At 42.8% G+C, this 27,988-nt stretch overlaps 2 long non-coding RNA genes across 2 annotated transcripts; one reads left to right on the top strand and one right to left on the bottom strand.

The window, feature by feature from the left end:
- Nucleotides 1-187: 187 nt before the first annotated feature.
- Nucleotides 188-27,677, bottom strand: LINC01443 (long intergenic non-protein coding RNA 1443). The gene is made up of 4 exons (NR_104164.1): nucleotides 27,616-27,677; nucleotides 11,661-11,874; nucleotides 8,134-8,327; nucleotides 188-1,588 (listed from the first exon to the last, which is right to left on the bottom strand). It is a non-coding gene; the product is annotated as a long intergenic non-protein coding RNA 1443 (long non-coding RNA).
- On the top strand, nucleotides 3,476-4,337 carry LINC01444 (long intergenic non-protein coding RNA 1444). Its single transcript, NR_110783.1, has 2 exons — nucleotides 3,476-4,066; nucleotides 4,166-4,337. It is a non-coding gene; the product is annotated as a long intergenic non-protein coding RNA 1444 (long non-coding RNA).
- Nucleotides 27,678-27,988: the final 311 nt, after the last annotated feature.

The following is a 27,988-nucleotide window of genomic DNA, read 5'->3' as shown; positions in this document are numbered from 1 at the left end:
TGCTTGATCTGTGAAGATGCAAGAAACTCTTATCACTGCTTTTGCCATAATCCCTCTTTCTTCTCTGTCTTTCGAAGCACGCTTGTTGGGTTGGAAAGCAAAACTAAATGGGAAGAACTAATATTTATTAAACTCTTGCCATGCACTGAGCTCTTTCTATAGTTTTCTAATCCTCTTTTTCCTTTTCTGCATTTGCTGTTTCTTAAATTGAGTATTGTTTTGTGCAAGACAAAATGTTTTCATTAAGAAATCCTCTTTGCTTGTGTTAGATAGGTTGCTGGCACCACACTGGCTGGTTCTGAGTGGAGGCGGGCATTCTCACTCAGCCATGGAGACCATAGGGCTCAGAGAGCTGACCTGGCTGCCCCAGGACACGGAGCAGTAAGAAATAGAATCACAATTCAAACCTGGATTTTGTCTCCAAATCCAGCAATTCTGAACTATGGCGCTATAAAGTCTAGTGCAATCCCTGCTAGTTCCTGGCAGCTGCCCACTAATGCCGTCTCTGTCAGGCTGGTGGCCTGTCTGTCCCTGCAGAGGAGAGAACAGGACCTTGCACTGCTGTGACCACCAGTTCCCAGGTCCTGTGGGACGAGCCATGTCCTCACGGCAACCCTGCCCTGCCTGACCTCTGGGTCTGTCTCGTGGCTATTGTCTCTTTATTTTTCAGCTACCTCTTGTCTTCATAACATTAGTGTCCTTGCCAGCATTGGGCACAGTTTGATTAGGGGAGAATTATCACCATTTTAATGCAATATACAACCAGTGTGAGATGCAGAGACACTGAGTCTTGTTTAAATTATCTTACAAATCTGAGGCCAGGCACAGTGGTTCATGCCTGTAATCCCAGCAATTTGGGAGGCTGAGGCAGGTGGATCACCTGAGGTCAGGAGTTGGAGACCAGTGCAGCCAATATGGTGAAACCCTGTCTATACTAAAAATACAAAGATTAGCTGGGCATGGTGGCAGGTGCCTGTAATCCCGGCTACTCAGGAGGCTGAGGCAGGAGAATCATTTGAACCTGGGAGGTGGAGGTTGCAGTGAGCCGAGATTGTGCCACTGCACTCCAGCCTGGGTGACAGAGTGAGTCTCCATCTCAAAAAAAAAAATGAATTAAATAAATAAATAATAATTTTACAAATCTGAGATATGTGCCTGAAAGACACATCTTAGAACTCTCGCCAACTCATTGATCAAGTCACCTATCCACAGAATAACTGAGTCAGTCTGCTGTCTTCACCCAGGAAAGTGATCAGGTCTTTATAGCTCAAGGCTGGGTTGCTTGTAGGAAATCCCTGTGTGGGCTGCAAGATTCAAGAAGCATTGGGGATTTCTCCCTCAAAAATATCTTCTCCATGGATGCCCCAGGGAGAGCTCATGGAAGCTATCAGAGTGGTCTTTTGGCCAGGAGATGCAGTCATCCTCATGGAAGCTATCAGAGTGGCCTTTTGGCTGGGAGACGCAGTCATCCTCATGAAAGCTATCAGAGTGGTCTTCTGGCCGGCAGATGTAGTCATCCACCGATCTCTTCTTGTTTTAGCCATCTCTCTCTCCTCCGTGGGCTCTCTGAGGAAAATACATGCATAGGCTAAACTGGCAAAGGAAAGCAAAGCAACATTTTATTATTAATTGGGGCTTTGGTTCCAAGTCTCCAAACAGAATTCCATTAAACTAGGTTGGACTCAATGGGAAATTCTTCATGAGAATTTATGAGAATATGCATAAGGCAGCTCAGAGCTTAGAACCAAGTGCTGGGCAGTATATTCCTTTTTATGCACTCACAATCAGACCTTAAGCTTAACTCCATCAACCAGACCAGAGAATTCCTACAATAGCAGGAGGAAATGGAGTCACAGCACAAGGGACCCTGCTTGTCTGAAGTGCTCAGTGCAGAACCAGCCAAGCCTGGTTGCTGTATTAGGAAAAGAGAACTTTCAGAGAGAAAGCCTGTCTGGCCCTTGGCACTTCTCGTTGCAGTCACTGGAGAGGTAAGAGAGAAAAGGGGCCACTCTGTCATGTGCTTTCTCTGAAAACAAACCCAGGACAATATGACTAACCATTGACCGAGAGCTTGGAATTTCCTGTCCTTGATGCCACAAGCAATGCCAAACTTGGCAATGTAAAATAGCAACTGTTTTATAGTGCTCTTGAGTTCTGCGAGCCAGGGATCTGAGAACAGCACTGTAGGGTGGCTTATCTCTGCTCCACACTGTCTGCATCCTCAGCTTGGAAGACCGGGAGGCTGGAAGCAGCTTGGCAGCTGGGGTCTGAAACCCCCTGCAGGCACACTTCTTCACATGGCAGTTGATGCTGGCTGCTGGCTGGGACCTCTGCTGGGCTGCCAGCCAGAATATCTGTTTGTGGCTTCTCCATGTGGCTATTTGGGCTTCTTCAAATTTCTTCTAAGAGTGATCATCCCAAGAGAACCAGGCTGAAGCCATATCACCTTTCGCATGCTAGCCTTGGAAGTAAAATCATGTCCTTCTCATTGTACTCCGTTAATCAGGGCAGTCGCAAAGATCCAGCCAGACTGAATGAGAGGGGACAGACACCATCATTCCATGGCTGGTGAGTTAAGCTTACATTGTAAGAAAAGCATGTGGGATGGGCAGTGTTATTACTTGCCACCCAACTCACCCTTGATTAGTAATAAAGTGTCTATATGGGCCACGTGGAAGCAAGGGGGAGAGAAATAAGAATCCTAAGTTTCTCCCAGGTACTGACTGATACTGAGAAACGTACCTAAAACCCACTGCTAGAATCTGTCTCTGGATCAGAGCACGCAGCCTCAGGACAGTGAGTAATTAAGCTGTTATTGGCCGTTGGTGTCAATAGCCAATACTGACTACACACTTGGATTGTCTATTGGTCATATTAGAAAGCAGACAGGACTGAAGATCTAGACGGATAAATAGTTCTTTGGTGAAGGGTTTTGGGACATATTTCATCAATAGGTTCCTATCAGGCAAATGCTGAGGAGGCTGGAGATGAAAACTGAACAAATAACTGGAAGAAAAGAATGAAGAAAGGCCTTCTTTAAGCCTTGGCTCCTTCATGATTTGGCCAGGACCAGTCCTTCCCAGAAGTGAGAGTCAGCTGGGCAGGAGTTTTCCTCCATCAGTGGAGTCATTTTATCAAAACCCAGCCTTAGAGCGCTTCTTTACGGAGGGAGAAACTCAAACACAAGGCAGGGGAGGTGACAAGTGTGTTCTCCATGCCTGGGGTTTCAGGTGAGGGTGGAGGTGTGGGGCCAGGCAGGTGGTTGCTATCACCTCTTCCCCATAAGGAAGATAACACTAACATGCAGGTTGATACAGGGAGAGCAGAATTATGGGATGTTACATCTTACAGAAATATCAGTTATATTTCTTTAATTGTCAGTGACAAAAAGATATTTTTTCTACAAATAAAAAAGGCCATATTTGGAATAATATGGAGCATCTTACAAAAGGAAAATTGCACCTGTACCTAATAAGCCATAGTAGCTCTGGGAACTGAATCTCGGGGACCAGGAACAGTCTCGCATGTCATTGTAATCTGGATTCATGAACTCTGACTTTCCACAGTCTTTGAGTCACTGAGCACCAGGATCAACTTTCACAGAGGATCCAGATAATCAGCCAGCTTGAGTCACACTCCTGCAGCTTGGCTAGGGTAGGGATTCCTGACCAACAGTCCCATAAGATCTTATCCAGTCAGGAGGTACTGGACCAATCTGAAGTGCAGCCAAGACCGGGAGCCACAGACCTGGAACCTGGGTACTCAAAGAGTTGTCCACGTGCCAGCAGCACTGGCCCCTCCAGGAGCTTGTTAGAAATGTAGAACCTCAGAGCCTACATTAAAGATATTGAATCGGAGTCTGCACGTCACATCTGAGAAGCCATGAGCTAAGCTGATGCCATTCAGCTGGGTAGCATCGCAGTCACTGTGCAACTTTTAAACCTACAGCTGCCCAGGCCCACTGCAGACCTGCTAAATTCGAGCTCCTTGTAGTGGGGCCAGGGCCCTGGGACTTCACACAAAACTCTGCAAGTCATCACTGATGAGAAAACCAAGACTCGATGAGGTAAAGCAACTTCCCCCACCACGAAACCTAGTCCTGTGTGAGGGAGCCAGGGGTATTTACATTTTCCTAATTTACATCCTTTTAAACTGCATTTTTCAGAGTCTCCTGAGCTCGGGGGAAGAAGCTGCATAACCGGCACACTTCCAGAAAGGACCGAGGAAGAGAGCGTCGCTTCAGCTAGGGATCTGATTAGTCATGCCTGGTAGGCTCTGCTGAGCTGGGGGCTCTTGGGTTTTGCTTGTTGAGCTGAATTAATATATTAATGGATTTCATGTTTGACTCGCTCTTTCTTTCTCACTGTGCAGGAGCTAAAGGAGTGGAGCTGGGGATGCAAATGTTTCTGTTTAGACAGCTGAAGTGGCCATGCGAGCCCACAGCGAGAGCTGCAGGAGCAGCTACTACAGGGAGTGGGCAGATTTTAGGATGTGCAGCTTTGTACTTGGTGTGGCTCGGTTGTACATTCAGGAATCTCTTTCCTTGTGATACATGGAGCTGCACGTGGAAGATGTTAGGAAAACAGCTGGGTGCAGTTTTGCTGGTTAGTTCTGAACAAACCTAAAGATGTGAGATTTGAACTCTATAAGGGAAGAAAGTGAGGAGGAAGAAGGCACTGAGGCTGCCTGTCACCAGGAGGGTTCTGGGCAAAACAGGGTAGAGTGACTTGGGACAGTTCCTCTTAACGATAGCACAGGCAGTAGGGGTTGAGACACAGTGGGGTTGAGACTTGCTTAAATGTACAGTTATTCAGTCAACCATTTTCATAGAATAATTGTGGGTTGTGTGGGTTGTCTTGAGCTGCCGAGTTCACATGTTCTGCAGTGGAGCACTATATGCTAATGTGAGATGTGAGTACACCCAGATTTCACCTGCCCTAGAACGTGGTTTTGTTTTTTTTTAAAGTAAAACAATGTTGTGGCCAGGTGTGGCCTGATAGCTTTAAAAACAAATGGCCTCTGCTGAGGGACACTTGGGTTGTTTCCCTGTCTTTGCTACAGTGAGCAGTGCTGCAGTGGACATGGGAGGGCAGGCAGCTCTTCTACCCACTGACCTCCTTTCCTATGGGTTTGTCCCCAGAAGTGGGACCTGCTGGATCATATCAAAGCTCTGTTTGTCTTTTCCTGAGGAAGCTTCAGGCTGTTTTCATCCGGGCTCTACTAATTCACATTCCCACCCACAGTGAATAAGGGTTCACTCTTCTCCATATCCTCACCAACACAGGTTACCTTTTGACTTTTTCATAATTGCCATCCTAACAGGTGTGAGGTGATAATTGTTTGCGGTTTTAATTTGCATTTCCCTGATGATTAGTTGAGGACTTTTTCATATACCTGTTGCCCATTTGTATGTCTTCTTTGGAACAATGTCTATTCAGGTCCTTTGCCCATTTTTAATCAGGTTATTATTCTTATTATTTTACTACTGAGCTGTATGAGTTTCTTATTTATTTAAAATATTAACCCCCTTTCAGATATATGGTTTGAAAATGATGTCTTTTATTCCATAGGTTGGCAGATGAATGGACTAAGAATACGTGATACACACACACACACACACACAGACACATGTACTAAAATATCTTTCAGCCTTAACAAGAAGAAAATCTTGCCATTTGCAATGAGATAGATAAACCTAGAAGACATTATGTTAAATGAAATAAAGCAAGCACAGAAAATCACATACTACACACTTATATGTAGAATCTAGAAAAGTTGGAATCATTGAAATAGAGTAGAATGAAAGCCACCAACAGCTGGGGGTAGGAGAAACAGGAAGATGATGGTCAAAGGTCAGAGGACACAAACTTGCAGGTGTAAGATGAGTCAGTTCTGGAGACCTAGTGTACAGCGTGGGGACTCTAGTTAATAATGTGTTTGACACTTGGAACTTGGAAAGAGTTGATCTCAAGTATTCTCACCACACACACACACACACACAAACACACAGGTACTTGTGAGGTGAAGGATATGTTAATTTTCTTGATTGTGGTAATCATTTCACGATGTGTGTCTATATAAAACATCATGCTGCACACTTTACATACATAGAGTTGTATATGTCAATTTTATCTCAATGAAATGGCAGGTCCTTCCCTTGACCTGCCACCTGACCTGCTACAGTTCAGAGGTTTGAGGCAGGGTAGCATCACCACCAGTGGAGATGGAGGCAGTGTTTAAATAACACACAATTATGTTGGGAAGTCAAAGGGGGCACCAGGCTCTCTAAGGAAAAGCTTGGCCTCTTCAGGACATTCTAGGAGGATAGCACATAATCCACACCCCACACCATGCCTTTCCCTGGGTGATGTCATTCCTGAATCCACATCCCACACCATGACTTTCCCTGGGTGATGTCATTCCCGCTGTGGCATCTGGATCATCCACCTGCCAACAGTGCCCAGAGCCTCACCTCCAGACCAGACCCACCCTCTTCAAATGGCCCACCCTGCAGACCCTCTCGAAGAGCTCACAGGCACCCCCAGAGAAGGTGTCCCAAATGCCGCCTTCTCTCACCAGCCTGTTCTCACTGAAGTCTTGGTTATCTTAGTAAATGGCACCACTACCCAACCAGTTGCTTGAGTCCATAAATGTAGGACTTACCATTCACACCACCCTTTGTCTTATCACTCAGTTTAAACACATCTCTCAGCCTTGACCATTTCACTTTCAAAGTATACCTTGAATCTCTGGGTACCTCTTTGTGTTTACAGCCATCATCTGACTCTAAGCCACAGACACCTCTCATCTAGATATGACCACAGCCAGTGTCAGCCTGCCAGATACACACCCTGCTCACATTCCTGCTTCCCTCCAGTCTATTCCACTTGCACATACACGTATACACTCACACACACTCATTCACATGCACACTGCCACACACACATACACAGCACTGCATACACTCATACTCACTTCCATACCCATGACCACACACTCACACACGCACACAATCACATGCATGACCACCACACACACTCACACACTCATGCACATACAGTCACATACAAACACGTGATCTTTAAGAACGTATGTTAAATAACATTGTTTCTACTTATGATTCATCAGTAGCATCCTGTGGCATTTTGTATTTAATTCAAACTTCTTCACCTGTTCCAGAAGCTCCTGGGAGCCATGGCCCCTGCCGGCCCCCCAGGTTCCCCTGATACCACACCCTGCACTGCCCAGTCCCTCCACACTGACCCCCTTTAGCTGCTCAAAGTCTTCCTCTGCCCCGTAGTTTCCACACAGGCCCTCCCCTGCTGGGGTGCTCTCCCTGCCAGTCCTGGCCTGGCTATTCCTCCCATAGACCCCCCTGATGGAAGGAGGCTCCTTGGACCCAGGCACTGCTCCTGTGCTGGTCTCCATGGGGCCTCGGTAGTGGACATTGTGTCCATTGTTCACTGAGTGAGTGAGCGTTCACTTGCTTACAGTGTGTGTCCTACACACTATGCTCCATGAGGGAAGGGACTGATTTGCTCATCACTGAAATGCTGGAGTTTCTGGTATTCAACACATGCTCAGTAAGACCTGACTGAACAACTCAATACCATCTCCACTATAGAGACACCCACAGAGTGCGGCAGAGGCAGCCATGGGCCAATGTTTAGGTGACTGAGTTTCTGATGCCATCACAGGCCCTAATTCCCCATGTGAATTTGGGCAAATTGCTGTACCTCTCTGAGCGCAACTTCCTCACCTGTATGTAAGAGGGTTTACATCAGGCATCTTTATGGCCCTGAATTATGAAAAAGTAAGAAGACTTCGCTTCCTGGGGTCTTTGGGGCTGGCCTGTTATGTTTGCAGGGAGCCTGGCAGTGTTCCTGTGCTGTCCTCCCTTTTTTGGCTTGAAGTGTTGACAGCATGTGTGCTTACTTGCTGGAGATCCCATGGTGTGTAAAGCTGTGGTTGTTGGATTTGGTAACAGTCTCTGCTGGAGCTTGCACAGCAAGCTACGGGGCAGAGGAAGACTTTGAACTCCAGAGCAGTGGAACTGGCAACTCCCTAGGATCCTGATCCTCATCAGTTTGGACGTTTCTTGTAGCCATGTGACCCATCTGTGTCTCTACTTGCCTTTATGGGACCGAAGACCACCTGACCGTGGCTCCATGTGAATGTGAAATCAGGTCTGGAGTGGGAGAGCAGTGGGTGCCGCCCCGCCGGCTGCGACACTGGGCTGGAGTCTCTGGTGGGTGGTGGACCCATTGAGCTGGCAGCGTGCACCTGATCTCATCCCGAGGGAATCCACGTGGTGTTTTCCTTGTTTTCTGGTGAAAATAATTGGGTGCAATGAGAGAGCTGAGCCACCTGTGTGCCAGGTGCCAGAGATCAGTGGCCTCACCATAAACTTGGCCAGGGCAGAAGATGGCTGAAGGTCAAAGTAGCTGCAAGAGGTGTTGTTATCAGGCATGAAGATAAATCGCTTGATATCAGCTTAAAAATGACAAGAATAAAGCTTCTCCTTTACGCTGCCTGAGACCCTGTTTGCTGACAGTGATGGGTGTGAGCTAAAGCTCACTTGCTCTTGCCCCTTCAGATACAATCAGCTACTGTTCTGCAGAGATGGGCATCTGCCAACCTGCACAGTCCGGTGTTTTGATAGAGCAACTCTCTCGATATTCTTCTCTAACCCCCTCTTACCCTTCGGGCATTTCAAACACTGTCCTGGACTCTTCTCCCTCACCTGCAGCACAGAGGCACAGAGTGAAGAAGAAACACAGCACCAGGACCCTCTTTCCTATCTGTTTAGAGAGAAGATGGTGGAGAAGGTTTGGGCGGGAAAGTAAATAGAGACCAAGGGTAGGAGGAGAGAGGGGCAGGATGGGAGGGAGACAGGGCATGAGGGAGAAAGAGAAGTCATTGATGGGCAGAGGGTGAAGGGAGAAGAGGAGAGAGAAAATGAGGGGTAGAGAGAAGCTTGCCATGGAGGGCACAGAATGCATTTCCCCCTCAGAACACTGGCTTGAAGCAGAGAAAATGAATTTTAGTGATATTCAAGGTTGAAACACTCACCAGCAATAGACACACTTAGAAATAGCTTAATAAATGCATTAACAATCTACAAAGACACAGAAAGTTCCAAGAATTCTAAATCCTCTCTTCCCTCTAGGTCTCAGCAGACCAAAGCAAGTTATTTTCTGATGAAAGGATTTCATCAAACCTTGATGCTCACTTGGATTTTTAAGTGGAACAAGGTCACTGTGTCTCTGTGCAGTTGCATCATGCAATCCTAATGAGAGAGGCTTCTCAGTCACTCCAAATGTGACCATGTGTGCAGATCCTCATGTTCTCAGACACCAGCCCCTTCTCCCAGACTGGCTTGCTCCAAACTGCAATCCTCTGAGGCCCATCATCAGTGCCCTGGTCTGAGGCACATGGAGTGTGTCACCCAGAATTATTGGAATGGAAATGCACTGATCCTCAAAAGAGGCAATCACCATTACACCAAGGGAGCTTCTATGGCTTTCTATTTGATTGCAGTTCTATTCCAGGAGGCTGCCACTCTGTTATGCCCAGGTTAGGTTCATGAAGTGGATTCCTGAAATGCTGCGATTCACAGAGGGTTTCCTCTCATGTGTGACTGAATTTATCAAAATGTTTAATAAAGCTACGTGATCTCCCACAGGACTTGGCTGCACAGCATCGCAGGTCCACCAGAGCTGCCTCCCTCCCTGAGTCAACGCGTCCCTGAAGATACACAGCTTATGTCAGCAGCACAGACCTGCATCCCCCATGGTGACTCAGTTTACATTCCGTACCCTTGCCCCTGCATGGGGGTCTTCTTGGAAACTCTGAGACAAGTTGGCTAGGTTAGGTGTCCCCTGATCTCAATCTTGCCCAGCCCTATGTGAACTTAGGTCTCTGGAGACTAAGAAGCCCCATGGGCAGAGGAGGAGGAGCAGCAAAGGCCCCAAGCATGAAGTGATTTGGGGGGAGGAGAGAGGAGTTTCCAGGGAGGGTGAGCACCCCATCCCCACTGCAGCACTGTCCCTCTGCCAATGCACATGATACAGCTGGAGTCCTTCCTCCCGCCTGGCTGTGCAGAGTGGCCCTGGGACCTCTAGGTGAGCAGAGAGCGGGAGGTGCAGCAGATGGAGTCAGGCTCCTTATACTCTCTCCTCACTGCTGTGGAGGATATAAGCAGGGGCCACGTGGCTTCAGAGCCTCCTGTTCCTCCCCTTCCCCGAATTCCTATCAACAGCTAACCAAATCCCTGCAAACACCCACTCTCCAAGCACCTGCTAAGAACCAGGGGTCTTTGGCAGAGGACTCCCCTTGCAGTGGGTGCTCAGAGCCCACTGATCTTGCCCCTCCACTGGCCCGGCTGTGGGAGCTGGCAGCTGGCAGTGGAACCAGAACTTAGGAAGGTAGGATGTCAGCTTGGAGCCATGCTGGCTGTCACCAGAGGCCGCCCCTCCATCAGCTAAGCCTTCCCGGGTGTTGTGTCATGAGCACACACAGTCTGGAGTCTCTGACACAGCTTTGTTTTCCCTGCTCTATCCATGGGCCCACCTCTCACTTTCCCGAAAGAGAGGGCAGGGCAAGCCGTCTCACAGACGGCAGAGCAGATGCCTGACCATACTCTTGAGCAGCTTCAGAGAAGTATTTATGCCCTGAAGTGGTTTCTTCAGGTGACCAGACCAAAGTGAGTTGCTGGACACCACCTACCCCAAGGCCCCTGTCTGCAGGAAGCTCAGGTCCATGCCCCTCAGAGCCAGCCAGCTCCCCCTTCCACCTAACCCTGACCAGCAGGAAACCTGTGGAAGTCAGGGGTCAGCCATGCCCCCTTTCCTCAACCCTCCTGCCTCTCAGCCTTCCCAGGCTGCAGAATTTCACCCTTCAGAGGCTTCCAGAGTCTGCCCACTCCCGTGAGGAACCATCGTCCTCCATAAATGAAACAAAGCCCTTTCCCTGGGGAAGCATGGGGGGCTTACTGAACCTGCTTCTGTGAGGCTGGGCTTGACTGGTGGGCAAAGCTGAGTGTGGCTGGGCCCAGCTGCTCCAGCAGGGCCCTCCCTGCTGCTCCTCCACCCGGAAGGTGGCCTGTGGCCAGAACGTGGCCTTAGAGCTCAGCCCTGACCAGCTTGTGAACTCAGCCCCGGTCCACCCAGGAGGAAGCACAGGTCTCTTGTCTCACTGAGTCTCATCTCATCAGTCACAGACCTTCCTCCCCATCTCCACCCGCAGAGGCAGCCGAGGGCTGGGATGGGGCAAGGAGGCCTCGTATAACTGTGGGAACTGTGGCTGGAGGGTGTCAGAGACAGAACGTGGAATTCCAGTCTCGTGTGGAAGTGAGGTGAGAGATGCAGATTGCTGTTTTAAAATCTACATAAAATTACCAACTTGAATATTTCCTTATGACTCCTGGAATTCTACTTCTTCGGCCCCTAAGCGTGGACATCTGATGCAGTTCTGGAATGTAAATAGGATTTTATAAAGGCTTCAGGAAATGTTCTGCTTTCCCTATTATAAGAAACGATTGACATTTCTTCTCCTATATGCTTTTCTTTCTGCTTTAAAAGCAGATAAAATGTTTCAGCTACAGCTTCAAGCCAGTGAACAAAGCTGTGGAAATCTGGTTTCAATACGTGGAAGTTTACCTCTGCGATGACTGCCTGGCGGTGGCTGTTACGTGATTCCAGGGACATAAGGCATGTGAGAGTGAGGTCAGGGCTCTGCTGCACTGGGAAGTGTGGAATCCAGCAGGTCATGATGTTGTTGGCACAACTTCATCTAGATCACTTTCAGGATATCATGCGATATTCAGTGTGGTAGGAAGAGATCAGTACAATGCCTCCAATTGTACAGCATAACCTAGGTATGCAGAGGGCAAAAGACAGAAACCTGTGATCAAGTCAGCACTAGAGCCTAGAATCTATTAACTCCCTATGTACTGTGGTTTTCCTGGAGAAAGAAATTAGTAAATGATAAAATTGCGGCAGCCAGATATAAAATGCAAAGTTGTCTATGAGTGAATAGACATTTAAGAAACAGTATGCATAGCTTCACAGATAATCCAGTGATGTAGATTGAAAGTTTGTTTCCTTCCAAGATTCCAATGTGAAAATTCCAACCTGGGAAGGAATGAACAAACGCTGCTGAACCCAGTAGGCCCAGCAAGTGGGCAGTGTGTCCCAGTGGGCCTGGAAGGCAGATCATTGAGCCAAAGGAAATCGGGTTCAACGCTCTTCATTCCAGGGAGTTTGCCTTGTGGTTTGGACTTGCCTGAGATCCATTACTCCTTTCTTGTTTCCTATTTCTCTCTCTGGGAGAAATGTCTGTCCTATGCTTGCAGCACTACTCTACTCTGGAGGCACATAACATTTAGTTTCACAGATTCCTGCCTAGAGAGAAATTTGTTTCAAGATGACTTTTACCTTGAGTCTTAGCCATATCTAATTTAGAGGATATTTATATAAGACTTCCGATTTGAGATTTAGAGTTGACACTGAAGGGGTTGAGACTTTTGGGGCTATTGGGATGTAATTAGTGCATTTTGCATGTTAGAAGCATTCTAGGCCAGGAGCTGAATGCTGCAGAATGATGGTTTATGTCTCTTCAAGATGTATATGTTGAACTCCTAACACCTAAGGTGATGGTATTAGGAGGTGGGGCCTTTGAGAGGTGATTAGATCATAAAGGTGAGGCCTTCATGAATGGGATCAGTGCCCTCCTAGAAGAGACTCCAGAGAGCTCTTTCACCCTCCATGTGGGGACACAGTGACAAGACGGCTGCTTATAAACCAGGAAGTAAGCTGTCACGAGACACTGAATTCTCAGCACCTGGATTTTGGACTTCCAGTCTTCATAACTGTGAGAAATGCATTTCTGTTGTTTGTAAGCCACTCAGTCTATGGTATTCTAGTATGGAAGCCTGAATGGACTAACACATTCAATAACTCAAAGTGATGTTTTAAGAACAGCAGATCTTGCCAACAGAAGGCACAGGCTTCCTCCCTCCTTACCTTCCTCTCACCCACATGGCCTCCCAACCCATCCCTTCACCACTTTTGTCACACCAACCCTTTACCTCTCCCCCAGCATCAAGCCAACACTACCAATTGCTGCTGACCTTCTGCTAATGCTAAATTTAAAATCAACTTTTTATTTAGAAAGTTTAAAACTTAAATTATAGACTTGGACCTAGGTGGAAGAGAGAAAGAAAAAAAGATTTCTAGACCCTGAGACAAACTCATACATCTGTCCATAAATCTGCTCATTTCATTTTATAGAAACAAAGAAATATGCTTAGTGGGTAGATTTAAATACTCAGACAATTAAAGTATACGATACTTTGCATGGCAACAATTAGTGGTGAGAAGAGTAGGGAGAGGTCCTGATTCTGCATTCCCCAAGAGCCTGATCTGATCACAATCTTTTGTTGAAATTACTCAATTGTTATTTTTAAGTATTTAATTTTTCCCCGCCTTTTGTAAAAATAAAACAGACAGATAGACATACACTGTGAAGCTAAAGGCTAAGATTCAGCTGATTTTCCAATGCTAATCATGAGAGTGGAGGTTGTTTATGGAAGCTGAACAATATGACTTTCATCACCAGGCAGTGGCCCCTGGGCAAAGACTCCAGGGTCTCTGGATAAGAAGAAACTGATAGGGAAAAATGGAGAGCACTTAGTTCACCATGGCAGAAATGCTGCAATAAACAAACCTAATGAAGAAGAAACATAAATCCAGATCAAACCAAGAATGGTTATTTTAGCTTCCTTCTCCTCCTTCTCCTTCTCCTCCTGCTTCTCCTCCTCCTCCGGATTTTTTTTGTCCCTTTATCAATGCATCATTTTTCAACTCTGTCACTTCCACATAACACAGCCACCATTTGCTGTTCTCAACTTTTCCTTTTTGTATTTGTTTGACACTAACTTTTCCCACAGTCTGTAGATTTTTTTTGTCCTTTTCTAATAGTTCGTGTTTTAGAAATTCAGAACAAACAATTTCTGAATGCTCCTCAGAACGCCAACTCAGGCAGAGAATCTCACCGAAATAGAGAAGAAGCTCATGCTCCTGGAAGAAACAGCCCGAGGAGAGCCGCTGGGCCACATCTGGCCACTGTCCGCAGCGCTGTCAGATTGCTGGGGCCACATCTGGCCACTGTCCACAGTGCTGTCAGATCCAAGGAGAGCCGCTGGGCCACATCTGGCCACTGTCCACAGCGCTGTCAGATGCCGACCAAACCCTGCTTTGGTGTTGAGGTGGTTCGTCTGGTAGCCTCCTTTCTTAAGGGTATTTAATCTGCTGCAAATTGTTTTCATGTATGCAATAGATGTTACTGTAACTGTTTTATAAGGTGCATTGTCTTCACCTTGGCAGGCTCTGTGCCAGTCTGTGTCTAGTCTGATGCCATTCCTGCACACATACATCCATGCCCCAGCATTTGGAGGGCTGGAGTTAGGAATAATCCTGTTGGTGACTTATTATTAACTATTGTATGGGACTTATTATGTATCTTCATGTTCTACTGTTCCCACCTCCCAAACCCCAAAAAAGGATGAGATCTGTCTTATAACAAAAACATTTACGATAAGGCCAATACTATAAAATAAGTAATAAAGTTAATACCAACAAAAAGAGAAGTATTAATTACTGCTGCAGTTAGGGTTGACATTATTCCTATGATTGAGCTTTGAAGACATTTCTAAGCAGTAATAAACATGAACCAAACGTCGCACAGTTCCATTCATGGTCCTGATCTGAGAGAACGCATTCCTAGATGGACACCCACTCCCTCTCCCAACTGCCCAACTCATCAGTAAATGGAGTTTGATTTAAGCCAAACCTAATGCAGTACTTCCCTGTACTTGAGGTTTTCCTTCTGTGATTTCAATTACCTCTGGTCAACGAGATTCAAAAATATTAAATAGAAAATTCTAGAGATAAACAATTTACAAGTTCTAAACTGCATGCCTTTCTGGTAGCATGATAAAATCTCATGCTGTCCTGCTCTGTCCCACGTGGAACATGAATCATTCCTTGTCCAGCATATTTACTCTTCATAGCAGCAGTCTAGGTTATCAGATTGACAGCGCCCAAGAAGAAAGGTGAGTTAAGTACAATAATATATTTGTAAAGAAAGACCATGTTTATGTAAGTTTTATTATAAAATATTATCATAATTGTTCTATTTTATTATTAGTTGTTATGGTTTATCTCTTTCTGTACTTAATTTATAAATTAAAATTTATCATAGGTATGAATATATAAGAAAAAACAAAATATATATATAGGGTTTGGTACTATCCACAATTTCAGCTATTCACTGGAGTCTAGGAAGATATTTTTCATGGATAAGGAGGGGGTTGGGGTATAGGAAAATAAAATTAAATATGCAAAAATGTCTAATCATATGACTAAAGAAAGTATACACATGACATTGGAAAAGATAAAAGGATCAGTAGTCATTATAGCAGCTTCAAATTTAGAATGCATATTTACAATTGGTAATACATTTATAGCAATTTATTCATGATGGGTGGTAAGAAGAGAGTAAACAATCTTTCATTGGTAAATCTTTTTGAGATATCTCATTGCTGAATACTTTACATGCTATCTCATTGAATGTTTATGAGGATCTCAAGAAGTAGTCATATTCCTAATAGAGAAAAAAATACTTGAGTTTTTTTTTTTTTTTTTTTTTTTTTTTTTGCTATTTCAGTGTTCCCTTTTCCTTTGCCAGTCCTCCAATAGCTGTTCAATGAATCTACATATTAAGTTTAAGGCTGACTCCATCTCCCGAATCACAGTGGTCATTCTGCCTCTTGGACTGACTCCATTCTTCATTTATTGAGTCCCTGTGGATATAGAGCCTCAGCTCTTGTCATCCCCTAAGGAAAGTGTTGGTCTGAGAAGTGAAACCAAGCTGGCACAGCACTGTAGGCCTGGGAGGGAAAGTGACACATGCCTGCATCCCAAGGAGTGGGGATGGTGAAATCATGAGGGACTCAATGAGGCTATCATTTGGGGTGCCACTGGAACATTGATTAGTGATGAAAGAGGAGAGACCATTGTCCTCCTGAGAGAATAAATCTGGTCCTCTTGGTGTCTCCTTTCCAAGATCACCTCGTTCTTCCTGTCTTACCGACTTCTCAGCTTGAGTAAATAAACCCTCCAGTGAATGGGGCCATGGGAAATTTTAGTCTATCTATCTCTACATCACTGAACATGTTGGACTTCACTGATCTTAAGCACAAACATCATTTTTCCTCTTATCAATGATCTTTTAGCATTTTAAGCAACTTTTATATAACAATACTTTTGTTTTAATATTTTTTCTGGTATCTTGTCTCAGTATCTTCCCATGTAGAACAACTCTATATATCACAGAACTGCTAAAAGCAATTAAATATGGCATATTGAGTTTTTAAATTACATTCTCTTCATTAAAATAACCAGAGTGAAATTTTATTAGTAAAAATAATGAAGTAAGAGCCTCTGAAAATCTCCCCCTCCATAAAAGCAACAGAAATCTGAAAAGAATTGTCAGATTCAGTGTCAACTTTTTCAAAACATAGGCAATTAACCAAAGGCTTAAAGAATGTTAGAAGCATGTATTAAAAAAAGGCTAGATCTCCACAAGAACTCAATATTTGTGTTTTAACTTGCCATAGGTGCACCCACCCTTCCACAGTGAAGTCATAGTCTTGAAAAATAACAGCATTTCTATCACAGAAAGGAGCAGAATGGAGTTAGATCCTAATTCCCAAAGAATTGCAATTATTTGAACTGTCTGGTGGTTCCCTAGAAAACTGGGCTGGAAAGGATTTTCTTTATGTAACCTTACTTAGATCTTATGCGCTGTTAAAAACATCTACAAAAAGAGTGGTTGAGAGGGAATTTGAAAAAAAAAATTATAGGCAAGTGTTGTAAATGTTGTGTTTGCCAGATATGGTGGATAACAGTTGGATCAAATAACATATATTAACCAGAAAGCTTAAAAGAGCCTGCTGAAAAGCAAGATGTTCACAGAGATTTTAAAAATATCAGACATATTCATGGAAATATAGACATCTATAAATATATGTAGAGCTATGCACATGCTCAGGAAAGTATCTGTGAAAGCCCTAAGCTCTCACTTTTGGCTGAGTTTCAGGCTCTGTTCAAGCAGAAAGTGAAGGCTAAGATAGATTTTTAAACCATTGAAGACATGCCTTAACACACATGCAGAATTCCCTCAGCAAAGACTGGAATATTTATTGGTCTTAGGTGTTTAAAGAAATACCTGGCCAGGTGTGGCGGCTCATGCCTGTAATCCCAGCACTTCGGGAGGCTGAGATGAGTGGATCATGAGGTCATGAGTTCAAGACCAGCCTGACCAACATGGTGAAACCCGGTCTCTACTAAAAATACAAAAATTAGCTGGGTGTGGAGGCGTGCACCTGTAATACCAGCCACTCAGGAGGCTGAGGCAGGAGAATCACTTGAACTAAGGAGGCAGAGGTTGCTGTGAGCTGAGATTGTACCATTTTACTCCAGCCTGGGTGACAGAGCAAGGCTCTGTATCAAAAAAAAAAAAAAAAAAAAAGAAAGAAAGAAAGAAAAGAAATGTCTGTACAATCATTACCTGACAACTAAATTGAATAGAGGTTTTAGTGGCTGAACACAATAAATAATATAGACTGCACAGAATTTGTTCAGAAAAAGATACTAAATAAACAATAATTACAACAAGCAGCAATAGCCACAAACTCTTATGAGGGAGAAGAAACTGAATTGCAGAGTTGCCATGCTATATAACGTAAAATGTCTAGTTTTCAACAAAAAAACCAAACCAGGAGACAGGCAAAGAAACAAAAAAGTATGGCAGGGAAAATGGAATAAATAGAAAGTGATCCAGAGGAAGTCCAGACATTGAACTTACTAGTCTAAAACCTTATATCACTGATTTTAAGTATATTCAAAGAATTAAAGGAAATCATGTCTAAAGAATTAAAGGAAATGATAATTATATCTCACCAAACACAATATCAATAAATGCATTTAAATTATAGAAAAAGAACCAAATAGAAACCCTGGAATTGTATAGTACAATAACTGACTTGAAAAATTTACTAGAGGTATTCAACAGCATATCTGAGCAGGAAGAAAAATCATCAGTGAACTTAATAAGAAATCAATTGAAATTATTTAGTTCATGGAACATAAAGAAAAAAGAAAAAATGATTTGAAGTTATAATAGTCAAAAATTTCTAAATTTGATGAAAAAATATTACTTTATACATCTAAGAAGCTTAACTAACTCCAAGTAAGAAATTTAGAAAGAGCCACTATAAGGCACATCATAATCAAACTGTTGATTAAAAAAATAAAGCTTGGAAGCAGCAAGAAAGAAGTGACTCTTTATGTACGAGAAGTTTGCGATAACTATAAGAGATAATTGCTCATTAGAAATTATGAAGGCCATAAGGCAGTGCCGAAATATATCAAATTAACAAAAGCCTGTTAACTAAGAATACTATATTCAGCAGAACTATCCCTCAAAAATGAAAAGAAAATTAACATATTCACAGATAAATAAAAACTGAGGGACTTTGTCACTAGAGGACCTGCCCTGTAAGAAATATTACAGGGGGAGTTTCAGGTTGAAATAAAGGGACATTAGACAGTAACTCAAACTAACATGAATAAATAAACAGCAATGGTAAAGGTAACAATATAGGTAAATATAAAGACAATATTAATTTATTTTTATGCCACTTTTTCCTCTATCTAATAAAAAAACTGCACAAGGGAATATACACACAATGTATAAGGATGTAATCTGTGACAATGACAACATAAAAGGATTGTGGAGTTATTTAACAGCAAAGTTTTTCTTATGATTGAAATTGTTTGTTTTAATTTGAATATTGTTATAAATTAAGATGTTATTAGTAATTCCTAGGGGAGCCACTAAGAATATCACTCAAAAATATACAGTAAAAGAAATGGTAAGAAAATTAATATAGTAAACTAGAAAAATTTAACATGCAATAAAAATAAGCAATAATAGAGAAATTGAGGAATAAAAATGGCATAAGACATACGAAAACAAATAGCAAAACTGAAGATGTAAATCCTACCCATAAACAATTACATTAAATGAAAATGGATTAAACTCTGCAAGTAAAAGCAGATATTAGCAGAATAATTTTTTTAATGATCCAACTATATGCTATCTACAAGACATTCCTTTTAGATTCGATGACAAAATAGGTTGCAGGTAAAATGATGGAAAATATATACCATGCAAAAGTTACCAAAAGAGAGCAGGAGTGACTATACTAGTATCAAACAAAATAGAGAAAAATTTTCATTAAATAACAACACTTTATAGCTATAAAAGAGTACATTTATCAAAAAGGTAAAAATATATCTGTAAATTTTATGCAAATAAATGAAATAATAACTGACAGAATTGAAGGAAGGTATATGCAATTTAGGAAAATAGTTGGAGATTATTATACTATTATATTAGACTATTATATCTCACTTTCAATAATGGATCAAAAACTAGATAGCATATTGCAAAGAAAATAGAAGACTTGGACAGTGTTATAAACCAGCTTCAGAGCACTCTACATAACAATGGAAAAAATATATACATTCTTCCCAAGTGTATATGGAAAATTCTCCATGACAGACCATGTTTTAGGCTATACAACAAGCCCCAATAAATTTACAGGGATTGAAATCATATAACACTATGTTCTCAAGCCACTGCAATAAAACTAAAATCAATAACAAAAGGAAATCTGGTAAATTTTCAAATATATGGAAATTAAGACATTTTTAAATTGCCAATGTGCCAAAGAAGAAATCACAGGGAAATTATAAAATAGCTTCAGCAGAATGAAAACAAAAACGTAACACACCAGACATTATAGGATGCAATGAAAGCAGCACTCAGAGGGACATTTAGAGCTGCAAAGGCCTATATTAAAAACATTAGAGATTGTAAATCAATAAACTCATCTTTTTGTCTAAACAAGTAAGAAAAGAAGAGAAAATGGCATCTAAACCAAGCAAAAGGAAGGAAATAATTAAGATTAGACTATGGATAAACAAAATAAAAAATGACGAAAAAAGAGAAAAAAGTTTCTTTGAAAATATCACCAAAATTGACTAACTTCTAAGTAAAATAATCAAGAAAAAAAGAGTTAAACATTAAATTACTGAAATCAGATAAAAAGGGGATGTTACTTCCAACTGGAACAAAATAAAAGAGATTATAAAATAATACTATAAACAATTTGCCACAAATCAAATAATTCAGATGAAGCAAACAAATTTTTAGGACATGAGCTACCTACCAAAAACTGACTCAAAGCCAGCTGTGGTGGCTCAAGCCTGTAATTCCAGCACTTTGGGAGGCTGAGGTGGGAGGATCACTTAAGCCCAGTAGTTTGAGACCAGCTTGGGCAACATAGTGAGACCCCATCTCTACCAAAAAAAAATTTTTTTTAACTAGCCAGGCATGGTGGCTCATGCCTGTAGTTCTAGCTACTTGGGAGGCTAAGGTGGGAGGATCCCTTGTGCCCAGGAATTTGAGAATGCAGTGAGCCAAGATTTTACCACTGCACTCTAGCCTGGGCAACAAAGTGAGACCCTGTCTCAAATAACAACAATAACAAAACTGACTCAATAAGAAATAGAAAATGTAAATACATCTATAAGAGCTACAGAAGTTAATAATAATTTACAAAAAATCCTTCCCACGTGAAAAGCCCACAGCAGATGACTTTACTAGTGGATTCTCTTAAGCATTTAAATAATTAACCCTAATCCTTCACAAACCCTTCCAAAAAATAGAAGGAAGCACTTTCTAACTTATTTTATAAGACCAAATAACAAACTCAGACAAGACTCACAAGAAAAACTACAGAACAATATTCCTTATATAAATACAGATGTAAAAATCTTCAACAAAACTAGCAAATGAATCTAGCACCATATAAGAAGGATTACACATCATGACATAGTTGAATTTATCCCAAGAGTGCAAAGCTAGTTCAACATAGGGAAATCAATCTATGTAATATGCTATAATAAAAGAATAAAAAGGAGGAGATGATTACCTCAATATAGTTAGAAAAAGTATTTGACAAAATCCAACACGCCTTCATAATACCAACACACAGCAAACTAAGAATAAAAGGGATCTTCCTTAACCTGTTAAAGAGCATCTGCAAAACACCCACAGCCAGCCTCCTACTTACTGATGAAAGACTGAATGCTTTCCCCTTGAAATCAGGAAGGAGGCAAGGATTTCTGTTCTCACTACTTCTGTTTAACATTATACTATAAATTCTAGCCAGCGTAATTAGGCAATAAAATGCCATAAAACATATAAGGATTGGGAAGGAAGAAATAAAACTCTTTCTATCTGTAGATGGCATTAAAGAAACACCAAATAATACACACATATGCACAAAGTATTATAGACAATAAATTCAACAAAGATACAGGGTATGAAATAAATATACAAAAATAAAAATCAGTTATATTTTTATAAAGTAGCAATAAAATTTCTGAAAATGAAATTTTTAATTTACAATAGCATTAAAAAATACTTAGAAATAAATTTAACCAAAGTAGTGCAAGACTTTACATTGAAAACTATGAAACATTGTTGAAGGAAATTTAAGAAGACCTAATTAAATGGAAACACATCCCATCTTTATGAATTAGAGGACTTAATATGGTTAAGATGGTGATATGTACAAAATCAATCTTCAAATATGCCATCCTAATAAAAATTTCACTGCTTTTTTAAATGAACAAGGTGATTTGCAAATTCATATGGACATTCAAGGTAACCCAAAAAGCCAGAACAATCTTAAAGAGGAAAAAAATCAAAAACAGAGTTGGCGTACACATTTCAAAACACAGGGCCACGCTACAGTCATCAAGACAGTGTGGTGCTGGCATACAGATAGACTCATAAAGCAAAGGAACAGAACTGACACTCCAGAAAAATATCCACACACATATGTTCAGCTGATTTTAACAAGAATGCGAAGCCCATTCAATAACGAATAATCATCTTTTCAGCAAGTGAGACTGAGATATTATGAAGAAAGTAAAAAACTGACCCACAGAATGGGAAAAATATTTGCAAACTATAATCTGACCAGAGTCTAGTATAAAGAATAAAGACGTCTTACAGCTCAATCATGAAAGGGAAAATATTTCAATTAAGGTGAACAAATAATTTAAATAGGCATCTCTCCCGGAACTTTATCAATGGCCAAGAAGCCCATGAAAAGATGCTCTGCCCCATGAGTCACCAGGGGAAGGCAAGTCAAGACCATAGTCACATGCCACTCATACCCATCACAATGGATATTTTTTTTAAAAAAATGAACAATAAGCATTGGCAGAAATGCTGAGAAATTGAAACCCTCCCACATTGCAGGGGGGTATGTAAATGGTGCAGGGCTGCAACTTAACATAGAGTATGCTGGAAAGTAGAGTCTGCCCAGTTCAAATGCCTTATGATTCTGTTAATACAACAGGAAGGATCAACATAGAATCCTGCACTTAGATTGGCTTCTGGAAGCATGAGTTGTAACCAGAGATAGTGGCACTGTGAATTGCTCCAGTCAAGTCTACAATGACATAAACAATCATAACAAACCACAAGTCATAATAACACAACCAGTAACAAAAACATCAAGAGCAACAAACAGTAAATATTATTTACTATGTGCCAGATACTAACATAAGTACTTTGCATGTATTAATGCATGTAAATATTATAACAAATTTTTGAAGGAATTCTGCTTAGCAAAAGTTTATAGTTGGGGATGTTAATCAAAGCACTCAGGATCACACAGCTATCAGTGGAAGATCTGGGCTTCAAACTCAAACAGGTAAACTCCAAAATCTTCGCTCTTAGTGACTGTGCTTTACAGCTGATGTCTGTACTCTGCTTTAGATCGTGAAAACTGTTTTCATCTGCAATAGCTCATTTCATCTTTACAACAGCGCTATCAGCAGACAGGGCAGAATCATCACCTCTCCTTATAGGCGAGAAAACGAAGGATCAGGAATCTTAAAGTCACTCCTCCAAGGTGATTCGATGGGTAAGTGACAGGAACGGTATCCGAACCAAGTTCTAACCCCTGACACCAGAGCAATGCCTTTTTTTTTTTTCATAGATGAAGCCATTCTCTCTCTGTTAAACCTCTGTGAAAACACATGGCTCCTCAGCTGAGGGCCTCTATAAAGCTCGAGGACTGATCGAGATGGTTACTCCACATAAATCATGTACTCACAAGCATTCTGCACCTGTCCACAATTTTAAACTTAGAGGCACGTAGGGTACAAGAGCCTCCACTTCATCACACAGAGCTAGTGTGTGAATCTCAGTCCCAAGGTGTCTGAGAGATGGGGCTTACATCTCTGCCTCTCCAGGAGACTCCTGCCTGGAGACGGCCCTGATGGATGGGGAGGAAGAAGCTGATGGTTTCAGCCTGACCTTGGCAAATGGCTCTGTGTCCATCCCTCTTAACCTCTGCCTTACAAAAATAACCTGCTCTCAGCACAAAAACAAAGAACTAGCAGAACATGAAAATCAGGCAGAGATGCCACTGGTGTGGAAAGAATAGCAATATTATCCTAATGACTCTGCAATAAAATGCAATCATGCGAGGAAATTTACCCTGAAATCACGTTCCTAAGCTTTGCAGAGAAGCCTCTGTTTCCTGGCCTTCGTCACACTGACCTTCTGAAAGACTACTCCCTGAGGGATTGGCAAGATCTTTTCTTATGCCTTTGTCTCTAGACTGATGCCCTTGTCTGTGGACTGCCTAGAAGACAGGTCCCAACTGCCCCTGTGGGTCCATCTCCATTGAGAAAGCTGCCTTGTCAGCCACAGACTTGCCAACCACATGGAGCACGGAAACACCTGGGCCCACTCTGGCCGTGTGGCTTCAGTAAGGTCACTTCCATCTGGGGTTGAGAAACTGACCCAGAAGATGCAATATATTTCTTGCTTTTCACATAGCAGAGCTCTTCTGGTATATAATCTAGGCACTAACATTGGAAATCTTAAATTGTGCATTCCTCTGTTCAAATTTGGGCCCAGCAATACTTTTCTATCTCCTGCTGCTCAGCAAGTCACCTATGCCCAAAGCATACAGATTCCTCAATGCAGCATGCATGTGGATGTTTACGTGCCTGCTGAGTGGCTGCTGGCATTGTGGAAAGGCCGAGTGGTATAGGACAGAGCACAGGGTCAGGCTAGGTGGTTCAGCCTGGACCACATCACTGAGGATGACAGGTTGTATGTAACTGAGGAGGGTTGGACCTGGCACTTGTTGATTCTCATGTTTCAAGCACCAATATAACTTTTATATATTCACGAAGCATATTGCTTATAATAGCTCTCTAAAGTATTTTCATCTGTATTTTATGTGTAAGGAAACTGAGACTTAGGGAGGTTAACTCTCATGTAAATTCCCCAAACTGATATGTGGCAAAGCCATGCTTTGTATAATGAAAAAGTTTCTTGAGCAGACCACACTACCTCCACTTAACTTCTCTTAGCCCCAATTCTCTCATCTGTAACTGAGAGAAAATAACTTTGTGGGGTTGCTGTGAGGACTAAGTAAGAAAACCACCAAGCCAGCTGTCTGCATGTATATGTGATTTCCCTTTTCCCCAGCCATAGAGATTAAGCCCAGGATGAAGGCAGGATTTATGACAACTCTGCCAGGGTACAATAATCTATTATTTAAGCACTTATGGATCTGTACTCAAAGCAGTTCAAGAAAAACATTAAGGCACCTCAAAAAGATATATAGAACCAAGCAAGATGAAGTCAAATGTAAAATAAGTGGGTCAAGGAACAAAAGAAAAAGGAAAAAAAATGGGTGAAAGATAGAGTGAGGTCAGGAGAGACGTTCGTATGCAAAACTGCATGGTTCCAGCCTCTGTGGTGTTGCTGTCTGGGGGCCTGAGAGTTATTATTAGTGAGCTCCAAATTGGCTATGAGGTTATTATTTGTTTGTTTTGCTGTGGAGGGGCACAGCTGCTCCTAGAATGCCGATCAGAGAGATTTCTCCATGCACCACCTTTACTGAAGACATTATGTGTTCTCAGCTACAACTACATGAGGACATAGACAGACAAATGGTGTATTTTTTGACAATTTCTCAGTGCGAGCTGAAGATATATTTCCAAAGCCCAAATCAGAACAGATGAGGCTAAAAGAGCATCAAGTAGGGCATCCCAGGGCCTTCTGAAGGTCATTCTTTAGCCAGCAATTGATGCACAACCTGGACAATTTCTTAACCTGCTCAGCAGCAATGAGACTGTGCTCCCTGCCTGAGAAGTACCTGAGGTGCTCCCTCGCTGGCTCTTTGTACCTCTTCTTGATGGTTAAGGGAGAAGGAAACCCTATCAGGATGGGTGAAGAAGGCAAAAACAAGTGCCAGAATGCTGCCCTTTAGCTACTTGGGAAAGAAATGAGGGAGGCTCCCCAAACAGGATCGAAATTGGCTGCAAGAGGTTCTTGGGCATCTCCCCTCACAAGAGTTCAAGGCCTCCAAAATGACACCTGCCACTTGCACAGTTCCAGACCACGGTAGAACCCAGCCCACTGGTTCCCAGCTGCTGGGAGCCAGGATAGGAGTTTGGTGCCCATCCCTGGAACTGAAGGGACTACCTACACCTCCCTGAGTTGTGTCTGTTTCCATTCAGTATAATTCAAGTTGGTCAACATCTATAAAGGGACCTCATATAAGTCAGCAACATGCTAAGAGCTAGAAATATAAGTTTGAAACATGCTAAGAGCTGGGAACACAAAGGCCCCTGTCCTCGGTGGGCTCATAATCTCATGATGCAAACCCACACTTGAATGCCCCTAACCGTGGTACAGCAGCATGCGGGATGCACCACACATTGCAGGAGAAGGGAAAGGAGCCTACCTGGCCGGGCAAAGCTGGAGGAGGGCTTCATCATAGAAGGTATTAGTCACTTTCTGATGAAGAAGATTCCACAAAGGGCCCATCTCCAGAAATTGATTGAGCTGGAATGCATCGCATAACTTGGCCTCCCCATCACGAAGTGGTAGCAGAGCCAAGATGCTTGACTGTCTGTCTCTGACTCTTGCCGCCCCTTCCAGTCCTATTTGCAGATGTGAATGTCTCCACTGGTCCAGCCTGAACACTCTGACATCATCTAAATCATGAGCTGCTCTGACAATAATGCCAGGCTTGCTAAACCTGCCAGGACACCAAGGGCCAGGATGAAATTTGAAATTCAAGCTAAGCCTTGGACAAATGTCAGCTGCCCTGCCAAGTGCCAGGGAATCCTCCCGCTGGCCATCTCCACTTGGCAGTTCCACTGGATCACAGTTTGTCTTTTGCTTGATTTGCTTTGGTTTTGTCTTCTACATTTTACTTTAAAACTCTCTGATTTTAAGCCTCTGTGTCTTGGTAATGCAGTAATTTAGAAAATGTAAAGAAGAAGAAAATGATGTCAGTGAAAGCTGAAGCAGTTAAAATGTCAGTAAGCTGGGCAGATTTTAATGTGGGGATGGTGGGAGTCCATGTGACCTATGTGGACAGGGGACCTACCCAAGAGACAAGTGGCAGGTCGAGCTCACCACCAGCCACCCCCAGGGCCACCAGCTTGGCTGAAGTAGGTGAAATCCAGAAAAGGATGGTTCAGGAAGAAAGAACAGTCCATAGCTCCGAATCTCCCTCTCTTTTGGACATATAACTACACGCTCAGTGTTTGGTCCAGCTGATATGTTCACCCTCACTTGTTGACACCTCTTGGTGTAGGTAACACTCTCATCATCCCTGAAGCTGTGGAACACAGTAAATCCGAGAATATTCAGGGGAGCAGAGCAGATTGAAGTTTGACTCCAGGCCCTCGGCTTACCAGCTGGTGATCTGGGCTAGTCACTGTGCTTTCCTGTGGGATTAGCACTGATGTGTTGACAAGGAAATAAGGTAATAATGTAATAAAATAATAAATAGGCACATAGTGTCTGTTTGGTGTAGAGCAAACCCCTGGAAGTGATGGCTGTTGGTGTTTTATTACCACTGTGATCGCACATGAGGGAAATGTGGCCCAGAGGGGCAGGATTTGACCCAGGGCTGATACCATTTTTCTAGGTCAGGCCGTCTCTGCATTGTGAGAACACTCAGTGCCCCCTGAAAATGTGAGCAGGACAAGGGCCTCAGGGCCACAAGAAACCCTCTAGCAAAGATTTGGAGATGGTATCAGGTGAAATCCGAGGCTCATTGTGAATTGCAAAGCTTCTATCTTGTACAACCAAAGAGTGATAAATACTGAGTGGGTATCAGATCTCTGCAGCTGGAAACCTGGTGGCAAAAATGCAGGAGTTAAATCCAGTTGGAAGGTCAGTCTCAGCAAAGATCTGAGCTGAATGGAAAGTTTCTGATGAAGTCTCAGATTTTCAATGATTGCTTCATCTTTTACAGCCTCTCTCCCATCCCTGGCCCTGGGCACCCTCCCTCCACCCAGGCTAGAACTTCACACAGACTTCAATCACAAACATCACAAAAGTGTCTCACAAAAATGTTACCTGCTTCCACGGTAAAGGATTTCTCAGAGTGAAAGTCCCGGGGTGCAGGAGTGGCCTGAAGTGCGAGCCCGAATCCTCGGGCTGACTCAGGAGGAAACAGCTCCAATGGGAAGGGCCCTCCCTGATCACTTGCTCCCTCACTTTCTGTGGTCACTGCTCACATGGCAGTCACATGGTGGGGCAAGGAGCGGAGCCTCAGGAAAGTTAAAGAGGTAGGGCTTGACTCCAGTCCGGCTCCTTAGTAGCTGTGTGATCCTGGACAGTCATTTATTCCCTAGATCTGCACTGTCCAATGTAGCAGTCACTAGCCACAGGAAGCTATTTGCATTTACCCTTAATTCAAATAAAAGGAAATACAATTTAAAATCCCACT

Source organism: Homo sapiens, chromosome 18 (assembly GCF_000001405.40).
Source record: "Homo sapiens chromosome 18, GRCh38.p14 Primary Assembly".
Taxonomy (NCBI): domain Eukaryota; kingdom Metazoa; phylum Chordata; class Mammalia; order Primates; family Hominidae; genus Homo; species Homo sapiens.
The sequence above is the reverse complement of the archived record's forward strand: the minus strand, read 5'-3'. Positions and strand labels throughout refer to the sequence as shown.